The 23,340-nt window shown below is 58.5% G+C and overlaps 1 protein-coding gene, 1 long non-coding RNA gene and 1 pseudogene across 3 annotated transcripts, besides 8 other annotated features; 1 reads left to right on the top strand and 2 right to left on the bottom strand.

The window, feature by feature from the left end:
• Window positions 1–940: 940 nt before the first annotated feature.
• LOC100134368 (uncharacterized) lies at window positions 941–11,660 on the bottom strand. Its single transcript, NR_024453.2, has 3 exons — window positions 11,424–11,660; window positions 10,472–10,611; window positions 941–2,134 (listed from the first exon to the last, which is right to left on the bottom strand). It is a non-coding gene; the product is annotated as an uncharacterized LOC100134368 (long non-coding RNA).
• Window positions 3,240–3,417: a silencer, noted in NCBI's record as "fragment chr16:440484-440661 (GRCh37/hg19 assembly coordinates)". NCBI's record gives its function as "represses an EF-1alpha promoter that drives an FKBP-Casp9 reporter gene in an ReSE screen in K562 erythroleukemia cells {active_cell/tissue: K562}" and the evidence as "EXISTENCE:reporter gene assay evidence [ECO:0000049][PMID:32094911]".
• Window positions 6,611–7,155, bottom strand: RPL23AP5 (ribosomal protein L23a pseudogene 5; annotated as a pseudogene).
• PGAP6 (post-GPI attachment to proteins 6) lies at window positions 6,922–23,113 on the top strand. 2 transcript variants are annotated; one of them, XM_047434413.1, is made up of 14 exons: window positions 6,922–7,004; window positions 9,505–9,645; window positions 16,053–16,230; window positions 16,316–16,523; window positions 16,737–16,864; window positions 17,089–17,357; window positions 17,446–17,765; window positions 18,466–18,556; window positions 18,645–18,768; window positions 19,009–19,145; window positions 19,502–19,680; window positions 19,750–19,896; window positions 21,174–21,290; window positions 21,618–23,113. In XM_047434413.1, the coding sequence occupies exons 5-14, from the start codon at window positions 16,809–16,811 to the stop codon at window positions 21,912–21,914; spliced, it is 1,737 nt and encodes a 578-aa protein (XP_047290369.1). In that variant the 5' UTR covers window positions 6,922–7,004; window positions 9,505–9,645; window positions 16,053–16,230; window positions 16,316–16,523; window positions 16,737–16,808; the 3' UTR covers window positions 21,915–23,113. The 2 variants fall into 2 exon arrangements, with proteins under 2 accessions (XP_047290369.1, NP_067082.2); NM_021259.3 differs by lacking the exons at window positions 6,922–7,004; window positions 9,505–9,645 and adding an exon at window positions 11,923–12,200.
• Window positions 11,457–11,806: a silencer, noted in NCBI's record as "silent region_6916". NCBI's record gives its function as "represses an Ori minimal core promoter by ATAC-STARR-seq in GM12878 lymphoblastoid cells {active_cell/tissue: GM12878}" and the evidence as "EXISTENCE:reporter gene assay evidence [ECO:0000049][PMID:35858748]".
• Window positions 11,827–12,056: a silencer, noted in NCBI's record as "silent region_6915". NCBI's record gives its function as "represses an Ori minimal core promoter by ATAC-STARR-seq in GM12878 lymphoblastoid cells {active_cell/tissue: GM12878}" and the evidence as "EXISTENCE:reporter gene assay evidence [ECO:0000049][PMID:35858748]".
• Window positions 11,827–12,830: a biological region, named in NCBI's record as "H3K27ac hESC enhancer GRCh37_chr16:431071-431970".
• Window positions 11,931–12,830: an enhancer, noted in NCBI's record as "H3K27ac hESC enhancer chr16:431071-431970 (GRCh37/hg19 assembly coordinates)". NCBI's record gives its function as "activates a minimal SCP1, AML or CMV promoter by ChIP-STARR-seq in naive H9 embryonic stem cells {active_cell/tissue: H9 hESC(naive)}" and the evidence as "EXISTENCE:reporter gene assay evidence [ECO:0000049][PMID:30033119]".
• Window positions 12,097–12,246: a silencer, noted in NCBI's record as "silent region_6914". NCBI's record gives its function as "represses an Ori minimal core promoter by ATAC-STARR-seq in GM12878 lymphoblastoid cells {active_cell/tissue: GM12878}" and the evidence as "EXISTENCE:reporter gene assay evidence [ECO:0000049][PMID:35858748]".
• Window positions 12,377–12,496: a silencer, noted in NCBI's record as "silent region_6913". NCBI's record gives its function as "represses an Ori minimal core promoter by ATAC-STARR-seq in GM12878 lymphoblastoid cells {active_cell/tissue: GM12878}" and the evidence as "EXISTENCE:reporter gene assay evidence [ECO:0000049][PMID:35858748]".
• Window positions 21,062–21,633: an enhancer, noted in NCBI's record as "H3K27ac-H3K4me1 hESC enhancer chr16:422268-422839 (GRCh37/hg19 assembly coordinates)". NCBI's record gives its function as "activates a minimal SCP1, AML or CMV promoter by ChIP-STARR-seq in primed H9 embryonic stem cells {active_cell/tissue: H9 hESC(primed)}" and the evidence as "EXISTENCE:reporter gene assay evidence [ECO:0000049][PMID:30033119]".

The raw sequence follows: 23,340 nt of genomic DNA, 5'->3' as shown, positions 1-23,340 counted from the left end.
ACTGGGCGCAGTGGCTCGCGCCTGTCATCCCAGCACTTTAGGAAGCTGCGGTGGGTGTATCGCCTGAGGTCAGGAGTTCGAGACCAGACTGGCCGACATGGCGAAACCCTGTCTATACTAAAAATACAAAAAATTAGCTGGGTGTGGTGGCATGCACCTGTAATCCCAGCTACTCGGGAGGCTGAGGCAGGAGAATCCCTTGAACCCGGGAGGCAGAGGTTGCAGTGAGCTGAGATCGTGCCCTTGCACTCCAGCCTGGGTGACAGAACAAGACTCCATCTTAAAAAAAGAAAAAAAAAATTATGCTGGGCCGGACGAGGTGGCTCATGCCTGTCATCGCAGCACTTTGGGAGGCTGAGGCGGGTGGATCACCTGAGGTTGGGAGTTTGAGACCAGCCTGACCAACATGGAGAAACCCTGTCTCTACTAAAAATATAAAATTAGCCGGGCCTGGTGGCAGGTGCCTGTAATCCGAGCTACTTGGGAGGCTGAGGCAGGAGAATTGCTTGACCCTGGGAGGCGGAGGTTGCTGTGAGCTGAGATTGTGTTATGGCACTGCAGGCTGGTAGACAGAGCAAGACTCTGTCTCAATAAATAAATAAATAAATAACTCTCTTGGCCAGGCGTGATGGGATGGTTCACACCTGTACTCTTAGCACTGTGGGAGGCAGAGGTTGGAGGATCACTTGAGGCCAGGAGTTTGAGACCAGCCTGGGAAACATAGTGAAACCTGTCTCTACAAAAAAATAAAAAATTAGCGGGGCGTGTTGGTGTGCGCCTGTATTTCCAGCTACCGGGAAGGCTGAGGTGGGAAGATTGCTTGAGCCCAAGAGGTCCAGGCTGGATTGAGCTGTGATCGCACCACTGCACTCAGCCTGGGCAACAGAATGAGACCCTGTCTCAAAACAAAACAAAAAAGAACTCTCGTAACTCAACAAGAAAAGCAAAACCCAGTTCATTTCCTTGTGTAATGCCTACCCCTTGAGTGTGGACCATGCCTGGTGACTGACTTCTGACACAGCAAAAGAGACGGAGTGTCACTTTCACAATCTGGTCACCAAAGACTGCAGCTGCTGCTGCTCCGCCACCTCCTGGGAGAAGCAGCTCCCCTGTTGTGAGCAGCCCTGTGCGGAGGCCCCCATGACAAGGAACTGATGTTTCTGGCCAAAAGCAACATAGGTGGGCTTAGAAGTGAATCTGCAGGAGGCTGAGGCAGGAGGATTGCTGGAGCCCAGGAGGTTGATGCTGCAGTGAGCAGTGATTGTGCCACTGCACTCCAGGCTGGACAACAGAGCGAGATCCCATCTCTTAAAAAAAAAAAAAAAAAGTGGGCGTGGTGCAGTGGCTCACACCTGTAATCCCAGCACCTAGCTAGGCCAAGGTGGGCAGATCACTTGAGGTCAGGAGTTTGAGACCAGCCCAGCCAACATGATGAAACCCCGTCTCTACCAAAAATACAAAAATTAGCCTGGTGGGATGTGACACGCCTGTAGTCCCAGCTACTCGGGAGGCTGAGGCACTAGAATCGCTTGAACTTGGGAAGCAGAGGGAACAGTGAGCTGAGACTGTTCAACTGCACTCCAGGCTGGGCAACAGGGCGAGACCCGGTCTGGAAAAAAAAACAAGTACATCCCCCCTTAGTCAAGCCTTGGGGTAACCTCAGCGTGGCTGACACCTTGACCACAGCCTGTGAGAGCCTCTGACTCAGAGGCTCCCTGCTAAGCCCCACCCAGCCTCCTGTCCACAGAATCTGGAAGATAATGAACGTGTGCTGCTTACATCATGAAGTTGTGGGGTATTTGTTATGCAGCATAGATGACTAATACAAACAGCAGCCAGGGAGGTGCAGAGTGGCATCACCTCCAACCAGAGCTGGGCTTCAGGGGCTCTGGTGGTCCATGGGGCTGTACTGCCGCTCAGAGGCCAGCGCTGGAACTGCGTCTGGGTCTCACTGCCATCCAAAGCATGGACTGCCTATCTGGTTTCACTCTTGGAGTGGCACCACTCAGAGGGCCCCAGAGCCTGACTGAGGATGAGGTGGAGTGAGGAATCAGGGCTGAGCACGGCCGTGGATTTCTGGAACATTCCTATGGATGTGCTGGATGGTCCTTGTAGAAGGTGCTCAAAAAGATACCTGCAGGGTGGGACAGCGGGGGGATCAGGACAGCTGAATTCTGTCCCAGCCCTACGACTGTTACACCCATGTAGGGAGGGCATTGCCCTACATGGAGGTCTCTCACCTGTTTTATTTTTTTAAATATTTATTTATTTATTTATTTATTTGGACGGAGTCTCGCTCTGTCGCCCAGGCTGGAGTGCAATGGCATGATCTTGGCTTATTGCGAGCTCTGCCTCCTAGGTTCAAATGATTCTCCTGCCTCAGCCTCCCCAGTAGCGGGGACTATCGGCGCCCGCCACCACATCCGGCTAATTTTTTGTATTTTTAGTAGAGACGGGGTTTCACCGTGTTAGCCAGGATGGTCTCAATCTCCTGACCTCGTAATCCGCCTGCCTCAGCCTCCCACAGTGCTGGGATGACAGGCGTGAGCCACCGTGCCCAGCCTGATATCTTATTGTTACAGGTTTCTAACTTAATTCCACTGTGGTCAGAGAACATATTCCCTTTGGGAGGCCAAGGTGGGCGGGTCATGAGGTCAGGAGTTCGAGATCAGCCCGGCCAACCAGTGAAACCCCGTCTCTACTAAAAATACAAAACTTAGCTGGGCATGGTGGCAGGCACCTGTAATCCCAGCTACTCGGGAGGCAGAGGCAGGAGAATCATTTGAACCCGGGAGGCGGAGGTTGCAGCAAGCCAAGATTGAGCCATTGCACTCCAGCCTGGGCAACAAGGGCAAAACTCCGTCTCAAAATAAATAAATAAATAAATTAATTAATGAAAGAGGACATATTCTCTACCACTTAAACTATTTTAAATTAATTGAGACTTGGTTTATGGCCCAGCATGTGATCTGTATTGGAAAACAAATTGTGTGCGCTTGAAAAAAATGTTTATTCTGGCTGAGCGCGGTGGCTCACGCCTGTAATCCCAGCACTTTGGGAGGCCGAGGCAGGTGGATCCCTTGAGGCCAGGAGTTGGAGACCAGTTTGGGCAACATGGCAAAACCCTGTCTCTACAAAAAAAATTTCTTTTTTTGAGACGGAGTCTCGCTCTGTCGCCCAGGCTGGAGTGCAGTGGCGCAATCTCGCCTCATTGCAAGCTCCGCCTCCCAGGTTCACACCATTCTCCTGCCTCAGTCTCTGGAGTAGCTGGGACTACAGGCGCCCGCCACCATGCCCGGCTAATTTTTTCTATTTTTAGTAGAGATGGGGTTTCACCGTGTTAGCCAGGATGGTCTCGATCTCCTGACCTCGTGATCTGCCTGCCTTGGCCTCCCAAAGTGCTGGGATTACAGGCGAGAGCCACCGCGCCCGGCCCAAAAAAATTTTAAAAATTAGGTGGGTGTAGTGGTGCGCGCCTGAACTCCCGTTAGAAACCATGAAGCTGTTGTTGATCCTCCCATCTTGGCCTCCCACAGTGCTGGGATTACAGGCGTGGCCACAGCCCTCGGCCCTGGACCCCATTGTTTCTAATGGGAAGTTATGCCATTCAATTGTTCCCTGGACTATAATGTGTTATCTTTCTCTGTCTGCTTTCAATATTTTCTCTATAAGTTCGTTTTCCAGCAGTTTGACTATGATGTAATTGGCTATGGTTTTCTTTGCATTGATTCTTGTTAAGCTTCACTAAGCTGCTTGAATCTGTAAATGAATGCCTTTCACCGAATTTTAGAATTTGGGGTATTTCTTCACATATTTTTTTTCTGTCTCAGTTTGTCTTCCCTGTCCTCTTGGATTTCCACGTGTACACAGGCTAGACCTCTTTCTTTTTCTTTTCTTTTTTTTTTTTTTGAGACGGAGTCTCACTCTGTCGCCCAGGCTGGAGTGCAGTGGCGGGATCTCAGCTCACTGCAAGCTCCACCTCCCCGGTTCACGCCATTCTCCTGCCTCAGCCTCCCGAGTAGCTGGGACTACAGGTGCCCACCACTGCGCCTTGCTAATTTTTTTTGTATTTTAAGTAGCGACGGGGTTTCACCATGGTCTCGATCTCCTGACCTCAGGTGATCCGCCTGCCTCAGCCTCCCAAAGTGCTGGGATTACAGGCGTGAGCCACTGTGCCCGGCTAGACCTCTTTCACCTCTGCTGAGGTCACTGCAGGGAGATCCAGGAAGAGTGGGCCCCTCCTTGTAGGAGGAGCACAGCCTCAGTCCCAGTCCCATCGGCCCGCCCAGGTACACTTCTGAGGGACACCAAGGGGAGCCTTCTCAGCAGAGAGCAACTCTTGGGCCTCCTACCCCGGCAGCCATCTCTGTCCCTGTCACCTTTGTTCCCACCCCTTGGAAGGGACAAGGACATCTGCTGTGGTTCCGCGCTCCAGTGCTGCTGGACTCACCCCAGGCTCCCTGCAGGCTGAGCGCTGTGCGGTCACTGCCCATGCCCTTCATCTTCCAGCTCACTCGCACCCACACCCAGGACAGGCATTCATTTGCTCAGACAAAATGGGGATAAATAAGAACCACTGCTGGGCGTGCTGGTGCTGGCCTGTAATCACCTGGGAGACTGAGGCAGGGGGATCCTTTGATCCCAGGAGGCCATTGCTGCAGGGAGCCACCATGTTCCCACTACACTCCAGCCTGGGCGACACAGCAAGACCCTGTCTCAATAAAAAAAAAAAAAAAGGAAAAAGAAAAACCCGTCTACTGCCATCCGCTGAACGTAAAACAACAACAAAAAGCTGGACTGAATGTAAAACAACAAAAAACTGAACTGTCATTCCCAGCACTTTGGGAGGCCGAGGCGGGCGGATCACCTGAGGTCAGGAGATCAAGACCATCCTGGCCAACATGATGAAACCCCATCTCTACTAAAAAATACAAAAATTAGCGGGGCATGATGGTGTCCACCTGTAATCCCGGCTACTCAGGAGGCTGAGGCAGGAGAATCGCTTGAACCTGGGAGGCGGAGGTTGCAGTGAGCTGAGATCGCGCCATTGCACTCCAACCTGGGGGACAAGAGTGAGACTTCGTCTCAAAAGAAAAAAAAAAGTGTGGGGAAAAGAAGAGAGATGAGATTGTTACTGTGTCTATGTAGAAAACTCCATTTTGATCTGTACTAAGAAACATTGTTTCTGCTTTGAGATGCTGTTAACCTGTAATTTTAACAGAAACCTGTGCTCACAGAAACATGTGCTGTGTTGAATCAAGGTTTAATAGGTTCAGGGCTGTGCAGGATGTGCCTTGTGAACAATTTGTTTGCAGGCAGTGTGCTTGGTAAAAGTCATCGCCATTCTCCGTTCTCGATTAATCAGGGACACAGTGCACTGCGGAAAGCCGCAGGGACCTCTGCCCAAGAAAGCCTGGGAGTTGTCCAAGGTTTCCCCGCACTGAGACAGCCTGAGATATGGCCTCGTGGGGAGGGAAAGACCTTACCATCCCCCAGCTCCACACCCGTAAAAAGGTCTGTGCTAAGGAGGAGCAGTGAAGGAGAGAGGCCTCTTTGCAGCTGAGATAAGAGGAAGGCTTCTGTCTCCTGCTTGTCCCTGGGAATGGAATGTCTCGGTGTAAAGCCGACCATTCGTTCTATTCTGAGATAGGAGAAAACCGCCCTGTGGCTGGTGGCGAGATATGCTGGCAGCAATACTGCTCTGTTACTCTTCGCTACACTGAAATGTTTATGTAAAGTGAAACATAAATCTGGCCTATGTGCACATCCCGGCACAGTACCTTTCCTAGAACTCACTCATGATACAGATTCCTTTGCTCACATGTTTCCCTGCTGACCTTCTCTCCATCTGTTGGCCTGCTACACTCCCCTCGCTAAGATAGTAAAAATAATGATCAATAAATACTGAGGGAACTCAGAGACCAGCGCCCCTGCAGGTCCTCTCAGGCTGAGTGCGCCGGTCCCCTGGGCCCCCCTTTCCTTCTCTATACTTTGTCTCTGTGTCTTATTTCTTTTCTCAGTCTCTTGTCCCACCTGACGAGAAATACCCACAGGTGTGGAGGAGCAGATCCCCTTCAAAAAGGGTACATACTTCCTACTTTTTTGGATTGGGAAATGACCTTTCCTTTTTTTTTTTTTTTTTTTTTTTAGACGGAGTCTTGCTCTGTCACCCAGGCTGGAGTGCAGTGATGTGATCTTGGCTCACTGCAACCTCCACCTCTCGGGTTCAAGCGATTCTCCTGCCTCAGCCTCCCAAGTAGCTGGGACTACAGGTGCGTGCCAGTTTTTTGTATTTTTAGTAGAGACAGTTTTCACCATATTAGCCAGGCTGGTCTTGAACTCCTGACCTTGTGATCCACCCGCCTCTGCCTCCCAAAGTGTTGGGATTACAGGTGTGAGCCACCGTCCCCAGCCCTTGAATGATTTAATTAGTTAATTTATTTATTTTTGAGATGGGGTCTCGCTCAGTCACCCAGGCTGGAGTGCAGTGGTGCGATCTTGGCTCACTGCAGCCTTGACCTCCTGGGCTCAAGGGATCTTCCTGCCTCAGGCTGTGGAGTAGCTGGGACTACAGACACACATGCCACCATGCTTGGCTACAATTTTTTTTTTTATGGTGACAAGATATATATATATATATATTTAGAATTAGGCAGCTGGACTCAGTTTAGATGATCCCAATTTTGTTGGCAACATCCAACGCATCGTAATCAGGAGCCAGTCGAACACATGCCTTCTTCTCTCCATCAGGCGGAATCAGGGTGGTGACCTCGGCCACATCACCGTCATAGAGCTTCTTCACAGCCTGTTTGATCTGGTGCTTGTTGGCTTTAACATCCACAGTGAACAAAAGCGTGTTGTTTTCTTCTGTCCTCTTCACGGCCGACTCCGTGGTCAGCGGAAACTTGATGACAGCATAGTGGCCAAGCTTGTTTCTCCTGGGGGTGCTCTTCCAAGGATATTCAGGCCGCCTCCGGCGTCGCAGTGTCTTGGGCCGCTGGAAGGTGAGTGACGTGCGGGTCTTCTTTTTTATGTGGCTGTGGACACCTTTCAACGCTGCCTTCTTGGCCTTTAAAGCCTTCGCTTTGGCTTCGGCTTCAGGAGAGGCAGGAGCTTCCTTCTTTGCTTTCAGCGCCATCTTGTGAAAAGGCCAATTTTTTTTTTTTTTTTTTTTGGTTTTTTTTTTTTTGTAGAGACTGGGTTTCACCATGTTGCCCAGGCTGGGAAAATGACCCTTTTTTTATGAAAGAATAATAATGCATGATAGTTGAGCCTAAAAAAGCCCCAAAACTCTGGGGAAACTATTTCTGTCTGTGAAACTCTGATGTCTGGGCACCTGTGGTGTGGTTCATGCTGACAGGTTAGGGCACTGGGTCAGAAAGACAGGGTTACGGTCTGCACTCCTCCTGCCTGACCACAGAGTGAGAGAGACCCATCTCCTGCCCTCAGGAAACTCGGGGCGGAGTGGGAAGACAGGGTCTCCCATGTCTACCAGGTGGCCATGAACAGACAGAGGGAAACTCCTTTCAACCTGCAGAGCCTGGGAGAGTGTCCACAGAGAGAGAGGGGTCCTCACACAGTCTTGCACACAGGAAGCATTTGCAGGAGGTGCACAGGGTGGTTATTTGGAGAAAATTGGATTACGGCTTTTTTTTTTTGCTTTTATTTAACTTTTGATATTTTTATCCAAGACAACTATAATAATGCTTATTGCTGCTGGGCGAAGAGCACACCGACTGTGGAAAGCTGCTCCCACACCCAGCAACCCTCCCCTCCGGCCAGGCTGCAGGCAGCTGGAGTCTACCCTCACCCAGGCTCACTAGAGGGGGACCTGGGGAGGGGGCTTGAGGGTCTTCCTGTTTGTTTGGAAATACGATGCGTCCCTGTTATCCAGCAACTGGATTTTTCACTTTACTGACATTCCTTCTGAAGACACATTTATAGACCCATCTAAAAGTTGCATAAATATTCAGAGTAGGCCGGGCGCGGTGGCTCACGCCTGTAATCCCAGCACTTTGAGAGGCTGAGATGGGCAGATCACGAGGTCAGGAAATCGAGACCATCCTGGCTAACATGGTGAAACCCCGTCTCTACTAAAAATACAAAAAATTAGCCGGGTGTGTTGGCAGGCGCCTGTAGTCCCAGCTACTCGGGAGGCTGAGGCAGGAGAATGGCGTGAACCTGGGAGGCGGAGCTTGCAGTGAGCCAGGATCGCGCCACTGCACTCCAGCCTGGGCGACAGAGCGAGATTCCATCTCAAAAAAAAAAAAAAAAAAAAAAAATCAGAGTAGGCCGGGCGCTGTGGCTCATGCCTGTAATCCCAGCATTTTGGGAGGCCGAGGCGGGCGGATCATGAGGTCAGGAGATCGAGACCATCCTGGCTAACAGGGTGAAATCCCATCTCTACTAAAAACAAAAAAAATTAGCCAGGAATGGTAGCGGGCGCCTGTAGTCCCAGCAACTCGGGAGGCTGAGGCAGGAGAATGGCGTGAACCCGGGAGGTGGAGCTTGCGTGAGCCGAGATCGCATCACTGCACTCCAGCCTGGGCGACAGTGAGGCTCCGTCTCAAAAAAAAAAAAAAAAAAAAAATCAGAGTATATTATAGCATGATTTATTTACCCATTGCCCTCATGGAGCGCCCAGGTTTTTCCAAATACAAGCAGTTCTGCTGCAAACATCCTTGTGTGTCTGTCTCTAGGCCTTAGTGTTCTCCATTACATTTTTTTTTTTTTTGAGATGGAGACTTGCTCTGGTTGCCCAGGCTGGAGTGCAGTGGCCTGATCCCTGCTCACTGCAAGCTCCACCTCCCGGGTTCAAGTGATTCTCCTGCCTCAGCCTCCTGAGTAGCTGGGATTACAGGCTCATGTCACCATGCCTGGCTAATTTTTATATTTTTAGTAGAGACAAAAATAATTCGCCATGTTGGCCAGGCTGATCTTAAACTCCTGACCTCAGGTGACCCGCCCACCTTAGCCTCCCAAAGTGCTGGGATTATAGGCATTAGCCACCGCGTACGGCCTCTCCGTTACTTTTTTTTTTTTTTTGAGATGGAGTCTCGCTCTGTCGCCCAGGCTGGAGTGCAGTGGCGCAATCTTGGCTCACTGCAACCTCCACCTCCTGGGTTCACGCCATTCTCCTGCCTCAGCCTCTGGAGTAGCTGGGACTACAGGCACCTGCCACCACGCCCGGCTAACTTTTTATATTTTTAGTAGAGAAGGGGTTTCACCATGTTAGCCCAGGATGGTCTCGATCTCCTGACCTCGTGATCCGCCGGCCTCAGCCTCCCAAAGTACTGGGATTACAGGCGTGAGACACCGCGCCCGGCCCTCTCCATTACATTTTAATGTTGGCACAATAATTTTCAGAAGGTTGAGGGGGTTCACATGCCTGCCAGCAAAGTGTGAGCATCTGTTGTGGCAAGGGCTGCGTGGCTGTTTTTTGACAAAGTGGCTTGTTTTGTTTCCCTGACCAGTAGCCTGACTGAGCTGTGTTTCCTGTTACAGAAGAGTCTCTCCATTGCCAACACTCTGTGACTTAGCAGACGTCTCTGGACTTCCGTCTGGGGATTCTTACCCACCTTCAAGTTCACCAGCCCTCAGCTGGAGCACTGGAAGTGGGGGCTCTGCCGCTTCTCTCCCTCTCCGGTGGGTGACTTGGGGCACAGGAACCTCAGACTAAGGTGACTCACTCAGGGGAGGGCAGTGGGAGGAGGGGGGCTTGGGCCCAGCCTGGAGCAGGGACTGGGTCTGGAGCAGTCCTGGGTGCTGGTGCTGACCTTGGTTGCTGGGTGCAGTCCGGCACAGCACACTCAAATCACGGCTCAGCAAAATCTGCAATCTGACCTCCGTGCCTTTAAAATGAGAACCCCTGGGAGCCCCCCTTTCCCCTCAGTCGGGGCTGAGGACGGCCCAGCTGGGATTCCCGGGAAACAAAGGGTCTCTTTAAGGCTCAGCCGGGGCTTCCTTCCTCCCCGGCCAACACCCTCCACCTCCGCTGCTCTGGCCTTCAGGGGTCTGGGCTCGTGGAGTCAGCTTCCCCTCCCCCGCTCCGTAAACCCTCACCACCCGCTGCGGCGTTCAAAAGGTACAAACAGGTATGGTCCCTGCGGCCATCCCCATCCCCACCCCGCCTCTCCTCCTCCAAGGTCAACCAGTGTAGCCGGTGCTGGATCATTCCAGACATTCGATGCCTTTGACACACACAAAGGAAACGTGTTTTTCTCCCTTTTCTACACAAATGGTAGAGCTTTGAACACACCGTTCTTCCTGTTCCTTTCTTGCAGCTACTGCTGCACCTGGTGGACCATTTCCAAGCAGCACAGCGCTTCCTGTCTTTCCTGTCTCGGCCACGCTCTGTCTCGTTTAGACCCCGTATGAATGATTTGAATGTCCCACCGGCCAGTGACACGCATGTAGGCGGTGCCACATTGACTCACTGGACGCATGCAGTGTGCCACTTCCGTGAACGTACCTGGAGGGAAAAACGCAGAGGTGGAATTCCCGAGGGAAGGTCATTGCTGCTGTTACTTCAGTGGACAAGTCGGGGGGGTTCCCACGAGGCTCCCACATCCTCTGCCTGCTGCAAGCAGTGTCTGTGGGCCACAGTCTCACCTGTTAGTACAGTTTTTATTTGCCAATGTGTTAGGTGAAAGGAAAAAGAAGTCACTTTAATGGGGTTTTCCTTTAATTTTTTTTTTTTTTAAACTTTTTACCCTCACATCCTGGGAAGGACACTTTAGTGTTTTGTTTTTTGTTTTTGTTTTTGTTTTTGTGTTTTTGTTTTTTGAGACGGAGTCTCGCTCTGTCGCCCAGGCTGGAGTGCGGTGGCGCGATCTCGGCTCACTGCAACCTCCGCTTCCCGGGTTCAGGCGATTCTCTGGCCTCAGCCTCCGGAGTAGCTGGAGTAGTTTTTAATTTGCATTTCTGCGCTGAGGGAGGAGGATCAGCGTATCCCTGGCAGCTGTCCTTCAGTATTTTCTAGGGGAGCGTTTCTGTGATTGATTTAGAGCTGTTTATTACTGCACTGTTACTAGTCTTATTAAGGTGAGCTCTGCGGTGTGAGCTGCAAGCTGTGTCCCCCACCTCCCAGTCGGGGGCTCGTCTTTTGGACTTCGCTTATGCAGTTTGGCTTTGCAGACGCCCCCACCCCCCTCCCACCCACGACGCGGCGGAACTTCTGGACTCTGTGCCACGCTTGGAAAAGCCGACTTGGCCCTAAGACGGAAAAAGCTTCCCCGAGTTTTCTAGGCTTTATCGCTTCCTTTTTTCGGCTCAAATCTTACATGGTGGGAATCCATCCAGGTGCAAAGCGCCGGGAGTTGATGCCACGCACCCGTGTGAACCGCCACCCCGATCGGGTACTACAGTCCCTAAACACAAGCAGCCTTCTCGTCTGTGCATAAAAGCGTGGATCTGACACGCACCTGCAGCGGCTCTGCGGCGTGAAGGCCGGCCCGGGGGTCCCCGTGCTGAGGCGCCTGACTCAGGCCCACGCGCGCCGGGCGGGGCAGGGCAGGGCGCGGGTTCCTCTCGGTCCCAGGCGGAGGTCGGCGCCTCTGCCCCCCGCGGGCTCCCCGAGCCTGCCACGGAGGTCCCGGCCGAGCGGAGCTGGGACTCAGCGAACCGGCGGGGAAGCCCCGCGGAGCCCACGCCTCGGGGAGAATTTCCTGCGTGTTCCGAGCGCGCCCGGCGCGACCTCTCCGTCCTGGGACCCCCGCGATCCCTCCATCCCGCGCCCTCCCTCCAGCGTCCCCCCGGACCGCGCGCGCCCCGGTCCGTCCCCCGCGCGCCCCACGTGACCCCTCCCCCCTACCGGCGCCCCACGTGACCCCTCCCCCCGGCGTCCGCGCCCCCCCCGGTCCCGCCCCCCGACCCCGCCCTCGCCTTCCCGGCTCGGCCTGCGGGGCGGGGCCTGCGGGCGGAAGTGCCCGGGGCGACGGCGGCGGGGACCGGCCGGGCCATGGGCGCCGGGGGCAGAGGCGGAGGCGGCAGAGGCGGAGGCGGCAGAGGCTGCCCGGGCGGCGGCGGGGGCCGGCGGCGCGGGACGCGGGCCGGGTAGCGCCGGGCCGAGCGCGGAGCCATGGGCCGGGCTGGCACCGGGACCGGGGGCGAGGCGGTGGCCGCGGTGGTGGCGGGGCCGCTGCTGCTGCTGCTGCTTGCCCGGCCCCCGCCTGCCTCCGCCGGCTACAGCGGGAAGAGCGGTGAGCGGGAGGCGCGGGCGCCATCGGGGGCGTGGGGCCGGGGCTGCGGGCGGGGCGGGATTGTGACACCCCGGGCGCACCTGTGCGCTCATCTGGCGCCGGCGCGGGGTTGGGGGTCCCCGCCGCGGGTTGGGGGTGCACAGTGGCCCTTTGGGGCGCTTCGTGTCCTAGGGGTCGAGGCGGACGGGACCCCGCGCTTCCTCCTCGGTCCCCCGATCGGGGTTGGGCCACATCGGCCCCTGGAGCGCCCCCTCCCCTCCCTCCTCCTCCCAGAGCGCCCAGGTCCGGCGCGCCCGGCGCGGGGAAGTGGAGGGGCCCAGGGGACTCTGCCCGGGACTCCAGCTGGGAGGAGTGGCTGGGCCGTGAGCTCACCGGCCGGGTCCGGCCTGAGAGAGGGGCAGAGCCGGGAGAAAGTTGTTAGACCCTGTAGCGGGGGCCCGTGGGCGTCATGGCTCCAGCCCTTCCGCAGTGACCCCCAGCCCTGGTACGGCCGCTTCCTGCCGCCGGCCCGGCTTCTGGGAGGAGGGACTCCCAGCTGGCGGAAGAGGGGCTGAGGAAAGGGCGCCCCTCTCCCCTCTTGTTGGGAAACTCGCCGGGCTCCCTTTGCATTTCTGTTCCCTGAGGGTCCCCGTCCCTGACTGAGGTCCAAGGAGGCGGCTGGACCAGGGAGAAGGCGTAGCCCTTCCACGGGGTAGGGACGTGGGTGTGGAGACCGTCAGGCCTTGGCCACCCTGAGATGGTGAGGACTTGCCCCGGCCTCTGTGGCCTGGGACTCTGGAGGGGCCGTGTCCTTTCTGGCCGGCTGGAAGTTCCCACACGTCCCCAGCCACGCGGGTGCCCAGGTGCCCGGCAGCTGATGCGGTGCTGTTCCCCGACTTCCCGGCCCCCAGCCCCTCCCCTCCCCTGCCCCTGAAATAATGCTCCTTTGAGCTCCTGTTTCTTTCGGGGGCTGTGCCTCCTGCTTTCTGAGCTTGGCACAGGTAGAGATGAAAGGCAGTTTTCCCCGAGGACCGTGCCCCGGATTAAATTGCTCCATGGCCAGGCGCGAAGCTCACGCCTGCAATCCCGCACTTTGGGAGGCTGAGGCGGGTGGATCACCTGAGGTCAGGAGTTCGAGACCAGCCTGACCAACATGGAGAAACCCCCTTCTCTACTAAGAATACAAAATTAGCCGGCAGTGGTGGCGCATGCCTGTAATCCCAGCCACTCGGGAGGCTGAGGCAGGAGAATCGCTTGAACCCGGGAGGCAGAGGTTGCGGTGAGCCGAAGTCGCTCCATTGCACTCCAGCCTGGACAACAGAGCGAGACTCCATCTCAAAAAAAAAAAAGAAAGACAGAAAGAAAAAAAAATAACCTGGGTGTGGTAATGTAAGCCTGCGGTTCCAGTTACATAGGAAGCTGAGGCTGCGGTGAGCCGTGTTCATGGCACTGCACTCTAGCCTGGGTGACAGAGTGAGACCCTCAGAAATACCAAAACCTTACTCCGTTGGAAACTGGCAAAGGAAATTCTCCTGTCCCAGAACTCAGGCCTGGTGAGGGGTTCCTGGGAGATGGAACCCCTGTGTGTGGACAGTGGAGAGGCCTGGTGTGCTGGCTCAGCCCCTCACTCCTCCCAGCCTGCCGAGGAGTAAGTGCTCTGTGGCGTTGTGGGTGGTCAGGGTCTCCCATGGGTGCCTGTCCCGGTTTGGAGGACGTGGGTCTGGGGTCTTCACTCAGGTTCCCAGGACAGGGCCAGGGACTTGCATTACCACCTTCCCCACCCAGCCCTGTGTCCGTGGAGGGGCTGTGGGGCAGGCAGGGGGCTGTGTAGCTGGCCCTCCTCACCCTGTGGTCACCTCGGCTCAGAGCACCCCTAACAGCCTGGTATGTGTGGGCAACTTGGGCAGGGAGCTTGGGCTGCAGAGCCCTGGGAGAGGCCTGGAGGGGCTGTGAGCCCTGGGAGTCGGGGACTGGGTGTTAGGACAACCTTGAACAGATCTCTTATCTCTGTGTACCTGCTGAAACTTCACAGCCACCAGCTGGGTTCTAGGTGCCCTCAGGCTGGCGCTCCAGGGCCAGAGGGGCTGAGGGCTTTGCCCCAGCAGCCCAGGGGCTGTGTGTGCTGCAGGTGGCCTCCCCTGCCTGCCCCCGCAGAGGCCGGCTTTCTCCGGGACACCGTGGTCCTGGGGGGCTGTCCTGCTTCAGCTCCCAGCACTTGAGCTTTCTCTGCCCACATTATCAGGCCACAGCCTGGTGGGTGGGACCTGGTGGCCAGCAGACACCTGGAAAGCCTGGAGTGCGTCGTGGGTGGAGCCTGGCCAGCCCCTGCCCAGTCGCCACGCCAGGTTCCCCTGGAGCTTGGCCTGGATTTGCCGACAGGCTGCTATTGGCAGGTGTATCGTTTCTTCTGGTGCCTCTATGGGAGGGTCACGAGGCTGGCAGGAGAGCCTGCTGCTCACCTGTCTCCCTCCTCAGGAGGGGCCTGGGCCTGAGCCAGCCACTCTCCAGTGAGACCTAGGCAGCGCTCCTGAGTGTGTGGGGAGGGGGAGCTGCAGCAGAGGGGAGGGTCCCGCCCCCTGCTGTGTCCACTGTGCTTTTCCTTCTGAAGCCTTTGTCGTTAATTAACCTCGGAGGGAGGGGCCCCCAAAGGGATGTGCCCTCCGCCCTGACCTACCCAGGAGAAGGCTGGGACCCAGGGAGGGAAGGATGCCCAAGGTCGCAAGGGCACGAGGCTGGAGCTGGCACGGGGGGCTGGGGGTGAGAGCCTGAGTCCTCGCCTGGGGCCATGAGCAGGATGTCTCCCACGGGCCCTTCTCCATCCCCGCACCAGGCGTGGGTGCGTTCCCTGAGGACAGTTAGGAGCCTTGCCCGCTTGGAACGCAGAGGGCAGCTGTCCCCTTGTTCTCATGACTGGCCAGGCTTCTGGCCTGGGTCCCTCCCACATGCAGTATCTCCCTCTGGGTAAGGGGAATTTGGGCTCCGGTCTCGCCGTGTCCAAAGTCATCATAGCCCAAGCAGGCAGCCAACCCATCCAGGGATGGAGATGTGGGAGGCTGAGAGGAGGTGGGAGGACCGTGCCTTGATATCCAGGGCATCTGTGATGAGGGGCGGGGGCTCCTTCCTGACACCTGCTGGGTCCTTCGGCTTCGACCTGGGTTGGCCATGGGGAGTGTAGTCTTCTAAGGTTGGAGGGGGTCCGGGTGGCAGTGCGGGTGGGGATGGCAGTCAGAGTGGCGATGGCAGTGCGGGTGGCGATGGCAGTGTGGGTGGCGATGGCAGTGCGGGTGGGGATGGCAGTGTGGGTGGCGATGGCAGTGCGGGTGGCGATGGCAGTCAGGGTGGCGATGGCAGTGCGGGTGGGGATGGCAGTCAGAGTGGCGATGGCAGTGCGGGTGGCGATGGCAGTGCGGGTGGCGATGGCAGTGCGGGTGGCGATGGCAGTGTGGGTGGGGATGGCAGTGCGGGTGGGGATGGCAGTGCGGGTGGCGATGGCAGTCAGGGTGGCGATGGCAGTCAGGGTGGCGATGGCAGTGCGGGTGGGGATGGCAGTGCGGGTGGCGATGGCAGTCAGGGTGGCGATGGCTGCTGAGGTACCCTGCGGCTTGTTTGGAAGCTGCTGCAGTGAGGCGGCAGCTGTGAAAAGACCCAGATGCCAGGAGGGTGGGATGTAGGCCATCTGGGGAGGGACAGCAGAGGATCTGGCTGAGGGGCCAGAGGGTGTCGGTGACCTTTGCCAAGGTCAGAGTTGGTGTGCCAAGATCTCCAGGTGGGTCCCCGGGGGCTTCCAGCCCTTTCCATCTGGGGGACTCGTCCTCCCCATCTGCGGCCCTGGAGGAGGGTCCCGGCCTGGCTGACACCTCCTTCTCCTCACAGAGGTGGGGCTGGTGTCCGAGCACTTCTCGCAGGCCCCGCAGAGGCTGTCCTTCTACAGCTGGTACGGCAGTGCCAGGCTCTTCCGCTTCCGCGTGCCCCCAGATGCTGTGCTTCTACGCTGGCTCCTGCAGGTCTCCCGGGAGAGCGGCGCTGCCTGCACCGACGCGGAGATCACCGTGTAGGTGGCTGCCCGCCCGCCTGCCCACCCTCCCGCGCCTGGCCAAGCCCTGTGCCTGAACCCGGTGCTGCTCTCCCGTCTCCAGGCACTTCCGTTCCGGCGCCCCTCCGGTCATCAACCCGCTGGGCACCAGCTTCCCGGACGACACCGCGGTACAGCCCTCCTTCCAGGTCGGGGTGCCGCTGAGCACCACACCGAGAAGCAATGCCTCCGTCAACGTTTCCCACCCGGCCCCCGGGGACTGGTTCGTGGCCGCCCACCTGCCCCCCTCATCCCAGAAGATCGAGTTGAAGGTGAGGGGGGCTGCCCTCCGGGATGGAGGCAGAGAACCTTGCGGCGATGGCCTGTCCCTGCCGTTCACCTCTTTGGGGTGGTCCTCGCTCTAGGCTCCACGCTGCACTCTGGGGCCAGCCCTGCTCCCTGCATGCCGGGGGCGTCTGGTGAGACCATGCCCTCACACCTGCATTCTCTGACACCGCCCCCGCCCACACCTGTTCTTTCCCTAGGGCTTGGCTCCCACCTGTGCCTACGTCTTCCAGCCTGAACTGCTGGTCACGCGGGTGGTCGAGATTTCCATCATGGAGCCGGACGTGCCCCTTCCTCAGACCCTCCTCTCCCATCCCAGCTACCTCAAGTGAGCGGGGGCCTGGGGGGCAGCCCGGCTCTGCCCTCCGGCCCCTTCTCAGATTCGGTGGAGTGGGTGCGAGAGCCTGGCCCTGAGTCCTGGGGTTGGGCTGGGAAGTGGTCCAGATGCCTGGCCCCCACCAGAGTGGGCTGAGGAACAGCAGAGCCTGGGCACGCTGCGTCCCTGGGCTGAGGAATGGCAGAGCCTGAGCCAGCTGTGTCCCCTCGCTGCAGGGTCTTTGTCCCCGATTACACGCGGGAGCTTCTGCTGGAGCTGCGGGACTGCGTGTCCAATGGGAGCCTGGGCTGCCCCGTGCGTCTCACCGTGGGCCCGGTCACCCTGCCTAGCAACTTCCAGAAGGTGCTCACCTGCACCGGTGCCCCCTGGCCCTGCCGCCTGCTGCTGCCCTCACCGCCCTGGGACCGGTGGCTGCAAGTGACAGCTGAGAGCCTGGTGGGGCCCCTCGGGACAGTGGCTTTCAGTGCTGTAGCTGCCCTCACAGGTGGGCCGCACAAGGGCTGGAGGGATGGCCCTGCCCCTCCCCAGATCCCCAGACTTTCCTCCAGCCAAACCCCTTGTCCTCTCGGCAGCTTGCAGGCCACGGAGCGTGACCATCCAGCCCCTTCTGCAGAGCAGCCAAAACCAGAGCTTCAATGCCTCCTCTGGTCTGCTGTCCCCGAGCCCCGACCACCAGGACCTGGGCAGGAGTGGCAGGGTGGACCGCAGCCCCTTCTGCCTCACAAACTACCCAGTCACGCGGGAGGACATGGACGTGGTGTCGGTGCACTTCCAGCCCCTGGACAGGGTCTCGGTGAGGGTGTGTTCGGACACGCCCTCCGTGATGCGGCTGCGCCTGAACACCGGCATGGACAGCGGGGGTTCCCTCACCATCTCCCTGCGGGCCAACAAGGTACCTGCTGTCTGCAAGCGGCCTGTGGCCTGGGCTCGGGCAGGGCGCCGGGCAACCCCTGCAGCGCCTCCTCATTTACCTTGGCACGGGACAGGCGGCACAGTGACACCAGCAGGCACGGGCCAAGACAGGGGCCCATGTTGGGGGGCCTCCCCTGCTGGGCAGCCTTGTTCCTGTCAACAGGCCCCGGGGCTGTGGGGTAGCTCGGGTCAGAGGTGGGGTGGAGGCAGGATGTCCCAGGGCCCGGGGAGGAAGGTCCCGGTGCACCGTGGGCCTGCAGGAGTCTCAGAGAAAGGCACCAGCACCGGCCGGGCGCGGTGGCTCACGCCTGTAATCCCAGCACTTTGGGAGGCCGAGGAGGGTGGATCACGAGGTCAGGAGATTGGGACCATCCTGGCTAACACGGTGAAACCCCGTCTCTACTGAAAATACAAAAATTAGCCGGGCGTGGTGGCGGGCGCCTGTAGTCCCAGCTACTCGGGAGGCTGAGGCGGGAGAATGGCATGAACCCAGGGGCGGAGGTTGCAGTGAGCCGAGATCGCGGCACTGCCCTCCAGCCTGGGCGACAGAGCAAGACTCCATCTCAGAAAAAAAAAAAAAAAGAAAGGCACCAGCACCAGGCTGAGCTGGCACGTGGGGCAGATGACCCCACTGCGGCCAGGGGCTGCTGGAGCTGAGCCGGCACCGCCTCCCTTTCCAGACAGAGATGCGGAACGAGACCGTCGTAGTGGCCTGCGTGAATGCTGCCTCGCCCTTCCTTGGCTTCAATACTTCGCTCAACTGCACCACAGGTATGATGGGCAGGCGTCACCGTCAGCGTGGCCCCGGCCAGCCCCCCGCCCCGGCCTCCTCTGATGGGGCCCTCTGGCTCCCCTGCAGCCTTCTTCCAGGGCTACCCTTTGTCTCTGAGCGCCTGGTCTCGCAGGGCCAACCTCATCATCCCCTACCCAGAGACAGACAACTGGTACCTCTCCCTGCAGCTCATGTGCCCTGAGAATGCTGAGTAAGTAAACCTAGGGCAGAGACGGGGGCCAGGCACCCTGTCATTTCACTCAGGACCACAGGCCGGGCTGCCTGAGGTTGGCGTTCGGAGTGACCCAGCTAGAGGGGTGCTTCCTCCAGGGCTGCTGAAAGCTGGGGGCCCTAATGCTGCGTTCTCATGTCTGTCAGCCTGTTGGGAGCGCTGGTGGCAGCTGGGCTGTCAGATCACTGCACCAGCTTTCCTGTGGCCCCTTCCTCAAAGGGACTGTGAGCAGGCTGTGGTCCACGTGGAGACCACCTTGTACCTGGTGCCCTGTTTGAACGATTGTGGACCCTATGGCCAGTGCCTCCTGCTCCGCAGACACAGCTACCTGTATGCCAGCTGCAGCTGCAAGGCAGGTGAGTGCCAGGGCCCCGCCCGCCCCGAGACGCTGCTGCTGTTGGCTTCCAGTGCTGTGCTGTGCCTTTCCCCTGGGGGAGCGCCGCAAGGGGCTGGAGAGAGACCCTTGCAGAGCAATGCAGGGGCAAAGCCTCCTCCCCACTCCCCCATTCCCCACCAACAATCCGTCTGCCTGGCACAGGCACCAGGTATCCCCGGGGGGTGGTACTGCCTCCTGACCTTGGACCCCGCCCGCCGTGCCTACCCTGCTTGCTCCTGGGTGAGGAAGGGGCTTCTCTGCAGGGTCCTGGGTGAGGGGTGGGCCCTGAGGTTCAGCAGTGCCCCCAGCCTCCGCGTCGGGGTTTTGTGACCGCAGGCTGGCGTGGGTGGAGCTGCACGGACAACAGCACAGCCCAGACGGTGGCCCAGCAGAGGGCGGCCACACTGCTGCTCACGCTCAGCAACCTCATGTTCCTGGCCCCCATCGCCGTCTCAGTGCGGCGATTCTTCCTGGTGGAGGCCTCCGTCTACGCCTACACCATGTTCTTCTCCACGGTAGGCTGGCCCCTCCTGCAGGGATGTGGGGTGGGAGGGCAGGACCGCGCTCATGGAGCCTCCCCACAGTTCTACCACGCCTGCGACCAGCCCGGGGAGGCGGTGCTGTGCATCCTCAGCTACGACACGCTGCAGTACTGCGACTTCTTGGGCTCCGGGGCGGCCATCTGGGTCACCATCCTGTGCATGGCACGGCTCAAGACAGTCCTGAAATACGTGAGTGGCCCTCGACGTGGGGTGTGGGCTCCGGGGGAGCAGGGCCCCCAAGTGCAGCCTGCGAAAGGCAGTACCGTGGGAGAGGCCGGACCTGGCGTTGGGCACGGCCCCTGGAAACCTCACATCTCGGCCGAGCATGGTGGCTCACACCTGTAATCCCTAGGCCGAGCATGGTGGCTCACACCTGTAATGCCTTGGCCGAGCATGGTGGCTCACACCTGTAATCCCAACACTTGCAGGAGGATCCCATGAGGCCAGGGGTTCAAGAGCAGCCTGGGCTGTACAAAAAATCGAAAAGTTAGCCGAGCGTAGTGGTACATGCCTGTGGTCCCAGCCACTCGGGAGACTAAGGTGGGAGGATCGCTTGATCCCAGGCATTGGAGGCGTTGGAGTGAGCCGAGGTCACAGCACTGCACTCCAGCCTGGGTGACAAAAGAAAAGAAAAGAAACCTCATGTCTTCTGTGATGCCACACGGAGATGCGGGTCTGAGACCCCGCAGGCAGTTGTGAGGGGGCAGTGCCAGCTGTTTGGAGGATGCCAGGAAGGAAGGTGGTAGGCAGGGGAGGCCAGGCCCCCTGCCTTCGAGAAGCCCCCACCCATGCTCCCTGGGTCCTTGGGGCCAATGATGCTTTGGGGACTCTCTGTGGCAGCTGGCCCTGGCAAGGGGAGACTCATGCCCTGGGCTTGTGAGCTGCATGCTCTGCCCTCCCATCTGCTCTGGGAACTGCAGGCTGGGTACTGCCCCAAGGGGGTGCCCATGGGAGCCCCACAGCCAGGGCAGAGGGGAGGCTGGGAAGCACCAGGGTCCTGCAGGGCTGAGTGCGGGGCCTGAACCTGCAGATAGGCAGAGAACTGTAGGCTGTGGGCAGAGGTGTCTGATGGAGACTGGGGGGTGGGAGCCCCTCCCCATGGAACAGTGGGTGGGAGACTGAAGCCACCCTGATGGGGGACTTCTAGAAACCCAGTGGTACAGGGGGCTAGTGAGTGTGTGGGTGCAGAGCGGCCATATGCGTCTGTCCAGTTTGTGTGAGCATCGTCTAATCCCCCAGAGATGCCTGCCTGGCCACATTCACCTGTGGATGCAATACAGAAGCTGAAGGAGGGGCATGTCCCTGCCGGCTGGCAGAGCTAGTCAGAGGCTGGCAGAGCTGGTCTGAGGGTGGCAGCAGCTCCGAGGGGGCAGGCAGAGGTGCTGTGGGGCCGTGGGGTACGCGTGCTCCTGCTGGGCCTTGAGCCCTCAGAGACGTCCCTGCAGTCATCCCTGTGTCTTGCGCAGGTGCTGTTTCTTCTGGGTACACTGGTCATCGCCATGTCCTTGCAGCTGGACCGCAGGGGCATGTGGAACATGCTGGGGCCCTGCCTCTTTGCCTTCGTGATCATGGCCTCCATGTGGGTAAGGAGCCGGGCTGGCTGGCACTGCTGCCCAGGTGCTCGGAGAAGAGAGCCTGGCCCCTTGCTCTAGCCACGTTCCTGGTCCTGCTCCAACCAGTGAATGCCCATATCTGCTGGGGGTTGCCATGGCACCCACAGAGGCCCAGCATGGCTGTGTCCCTGAGGCCTGGGCCTGAGGACCAGTGGCCTTGAGCCCCCTCGAAGCAGCCCACCCTTGTCGTTCTGCTGCCCAGACCTGGGCAGGCCCCCAGTAACCACCGTATCTGGGCCCTGGGAGCTGCAGCCGCGGCCCCACCTGCACTGATACCTGCGTGGCTGTTTTCTCCAGGCTTACCGCTGCGGGCACCGGCGCCAGTGCTACCCCACCTCGTGGCAGCGCTGGGCCTTCTACCTCCTGCCCGGCGTCTCTATGGCCTCTGTGGGCATCGCCATCTACACCTCCATGATGACTAGCGACAACTACTACTACACCCACAGCATCTGGCACATCCTGCTGGCCGGGAGCGCAGCCTTGCTGCTGCCGCCACCTGACCAGCCCGCCGAGCCCTGGGCCTGCTCGCAGAAATTCCCCTGCCACTATCAGATCTGCAAGAACGATCGGGAGGAACTGTACGCAGTGACGTGACACTGGCCTGGGGACAGCTGCTGCTCTGATGACCTCTTCAGCCAGGAGCTGTATCGAGGGGGAGGCGCCTGGTCCAGCCCTGGACAGATTGATTTCCAGCTGAATAAATTGGCCTAGATACCCTCTTACTTCCTCCTACTGAGGAGAGGGCCACCCCTCCCTCACACGCACCTCTCCTCGCCAGCTGCCTGCTCGCTGCTGAGATCCCTCTGCAGATCCCAGCTGCTGTCTGCAGTGGCCCCTGGGGCCTGGGCTTGGTTACTTGGAGACCACAGGTGCCTGTGCGAGGGTGGGGCTGTGTGCTCTGCTGGCCTGTGGGTGGCTAGAGATGGGGAGAAGGACTCCCTATGGTCCTGTTCCCTGGCGAGGCTGTGGTGAGACCCATGGCGCCCAGGAGCCCTGAGCCCACCACTGGGGCCGGGAGCTGTGGACTCCGAGACCCCTGCTCCTGGCCCCTGTGTGGCCCTGATGCCAGCCTGCCTGGGGCATGGAGGATCCCCCTCTGCTGCTGTGGTCACCATAGGGACGGGAGACGGAGGTTTCCCCCAGAGCTGATGGGCACTGGGGATGCAGGCTCCCGCCCCGCCCCTCCCTTTTTCCTGGCTCTGGAGCCTTGGGTCCCTGAGAAGAGCTTCCTTGGACTGGGGTGCTCTGCTGCTCTGGGGGTTTGGCCCAGAAGGAACCCCTACCCAGCCCTGTCCACCCACCCCAGCGTTCCTGGGCCCCCCTCTGGGAGCTTCCTCTTGGTCCCAGGAGCTGCGGTGGTGTCTGCCCCCTGCACTGGGCTCTGTGCCCTGTGGGTGTTCAGGAGACTGGACTGTCTCTGCTCCTCATGCAAACCTTGTGGGGGAAGCAATGACCAGGAGCAGCACCTGGCCCCTCCCTGAGGCCTGTGAGTGTCTCGGATCCGCCCTGGAGAAGTGAGTGGCTGAGACCCGGGTGGGGCCCTCCTACCCTTGGCTCTGGGGGCTTCCCTTCTGGGTCTTGTCCGGGATATGGCCTTCCTGAAGGTCTTACCTCCCCCAGCCGCCCTGCACTTGACCACCAAAGCAATCTCTAAGCTTATAAAGGAGAAACATATATATATGGGGTTTTTTGGAGTAAAGGAAAATTCTAAGATATTAAGACATATTTTTATGTAGATCTGATCTATCTGTGTTTGGTGAATTTAATATTCTACATTGATTTTTCAAACTAAACGAGTTTTTACATTTTTTCTGTGCTCCTTCCCGGGTAGGGTAAGTGGGGCCCGGGAGAACAAGCACCGCCCCGCCCGTGCCGCCCTTCGCGGAAACGCCGGGGCCGCACGTAGCTAACGGTGCCTTGAGCTGCTGCTGCTGTATGTGGGGTGTTTTTTACGGTCCCTAAAGACGGAAGCGGGGCGGGACGAGGGGGTAGACGGATGGCTTTTACAGCCAGTCAGCGG

The sequence above is a fragment of the Homo sapiens genome, chromosome 16 (assembly GCF_000001405.40).
Source record: "Homo sapiens chromosome 16, GRCh38.p14 Primary Assembly".
In the NCBI taxonomy this organism is placed as follows: domain Eukaryota; kingdom Metazoa; phylum Chordata; class Mammalia; order Primates; family Hominidae; genus Homo; species Homo sapiens.
This window is presented reverse-complemented; position numbering and strand designations above follow the sequence as displayed.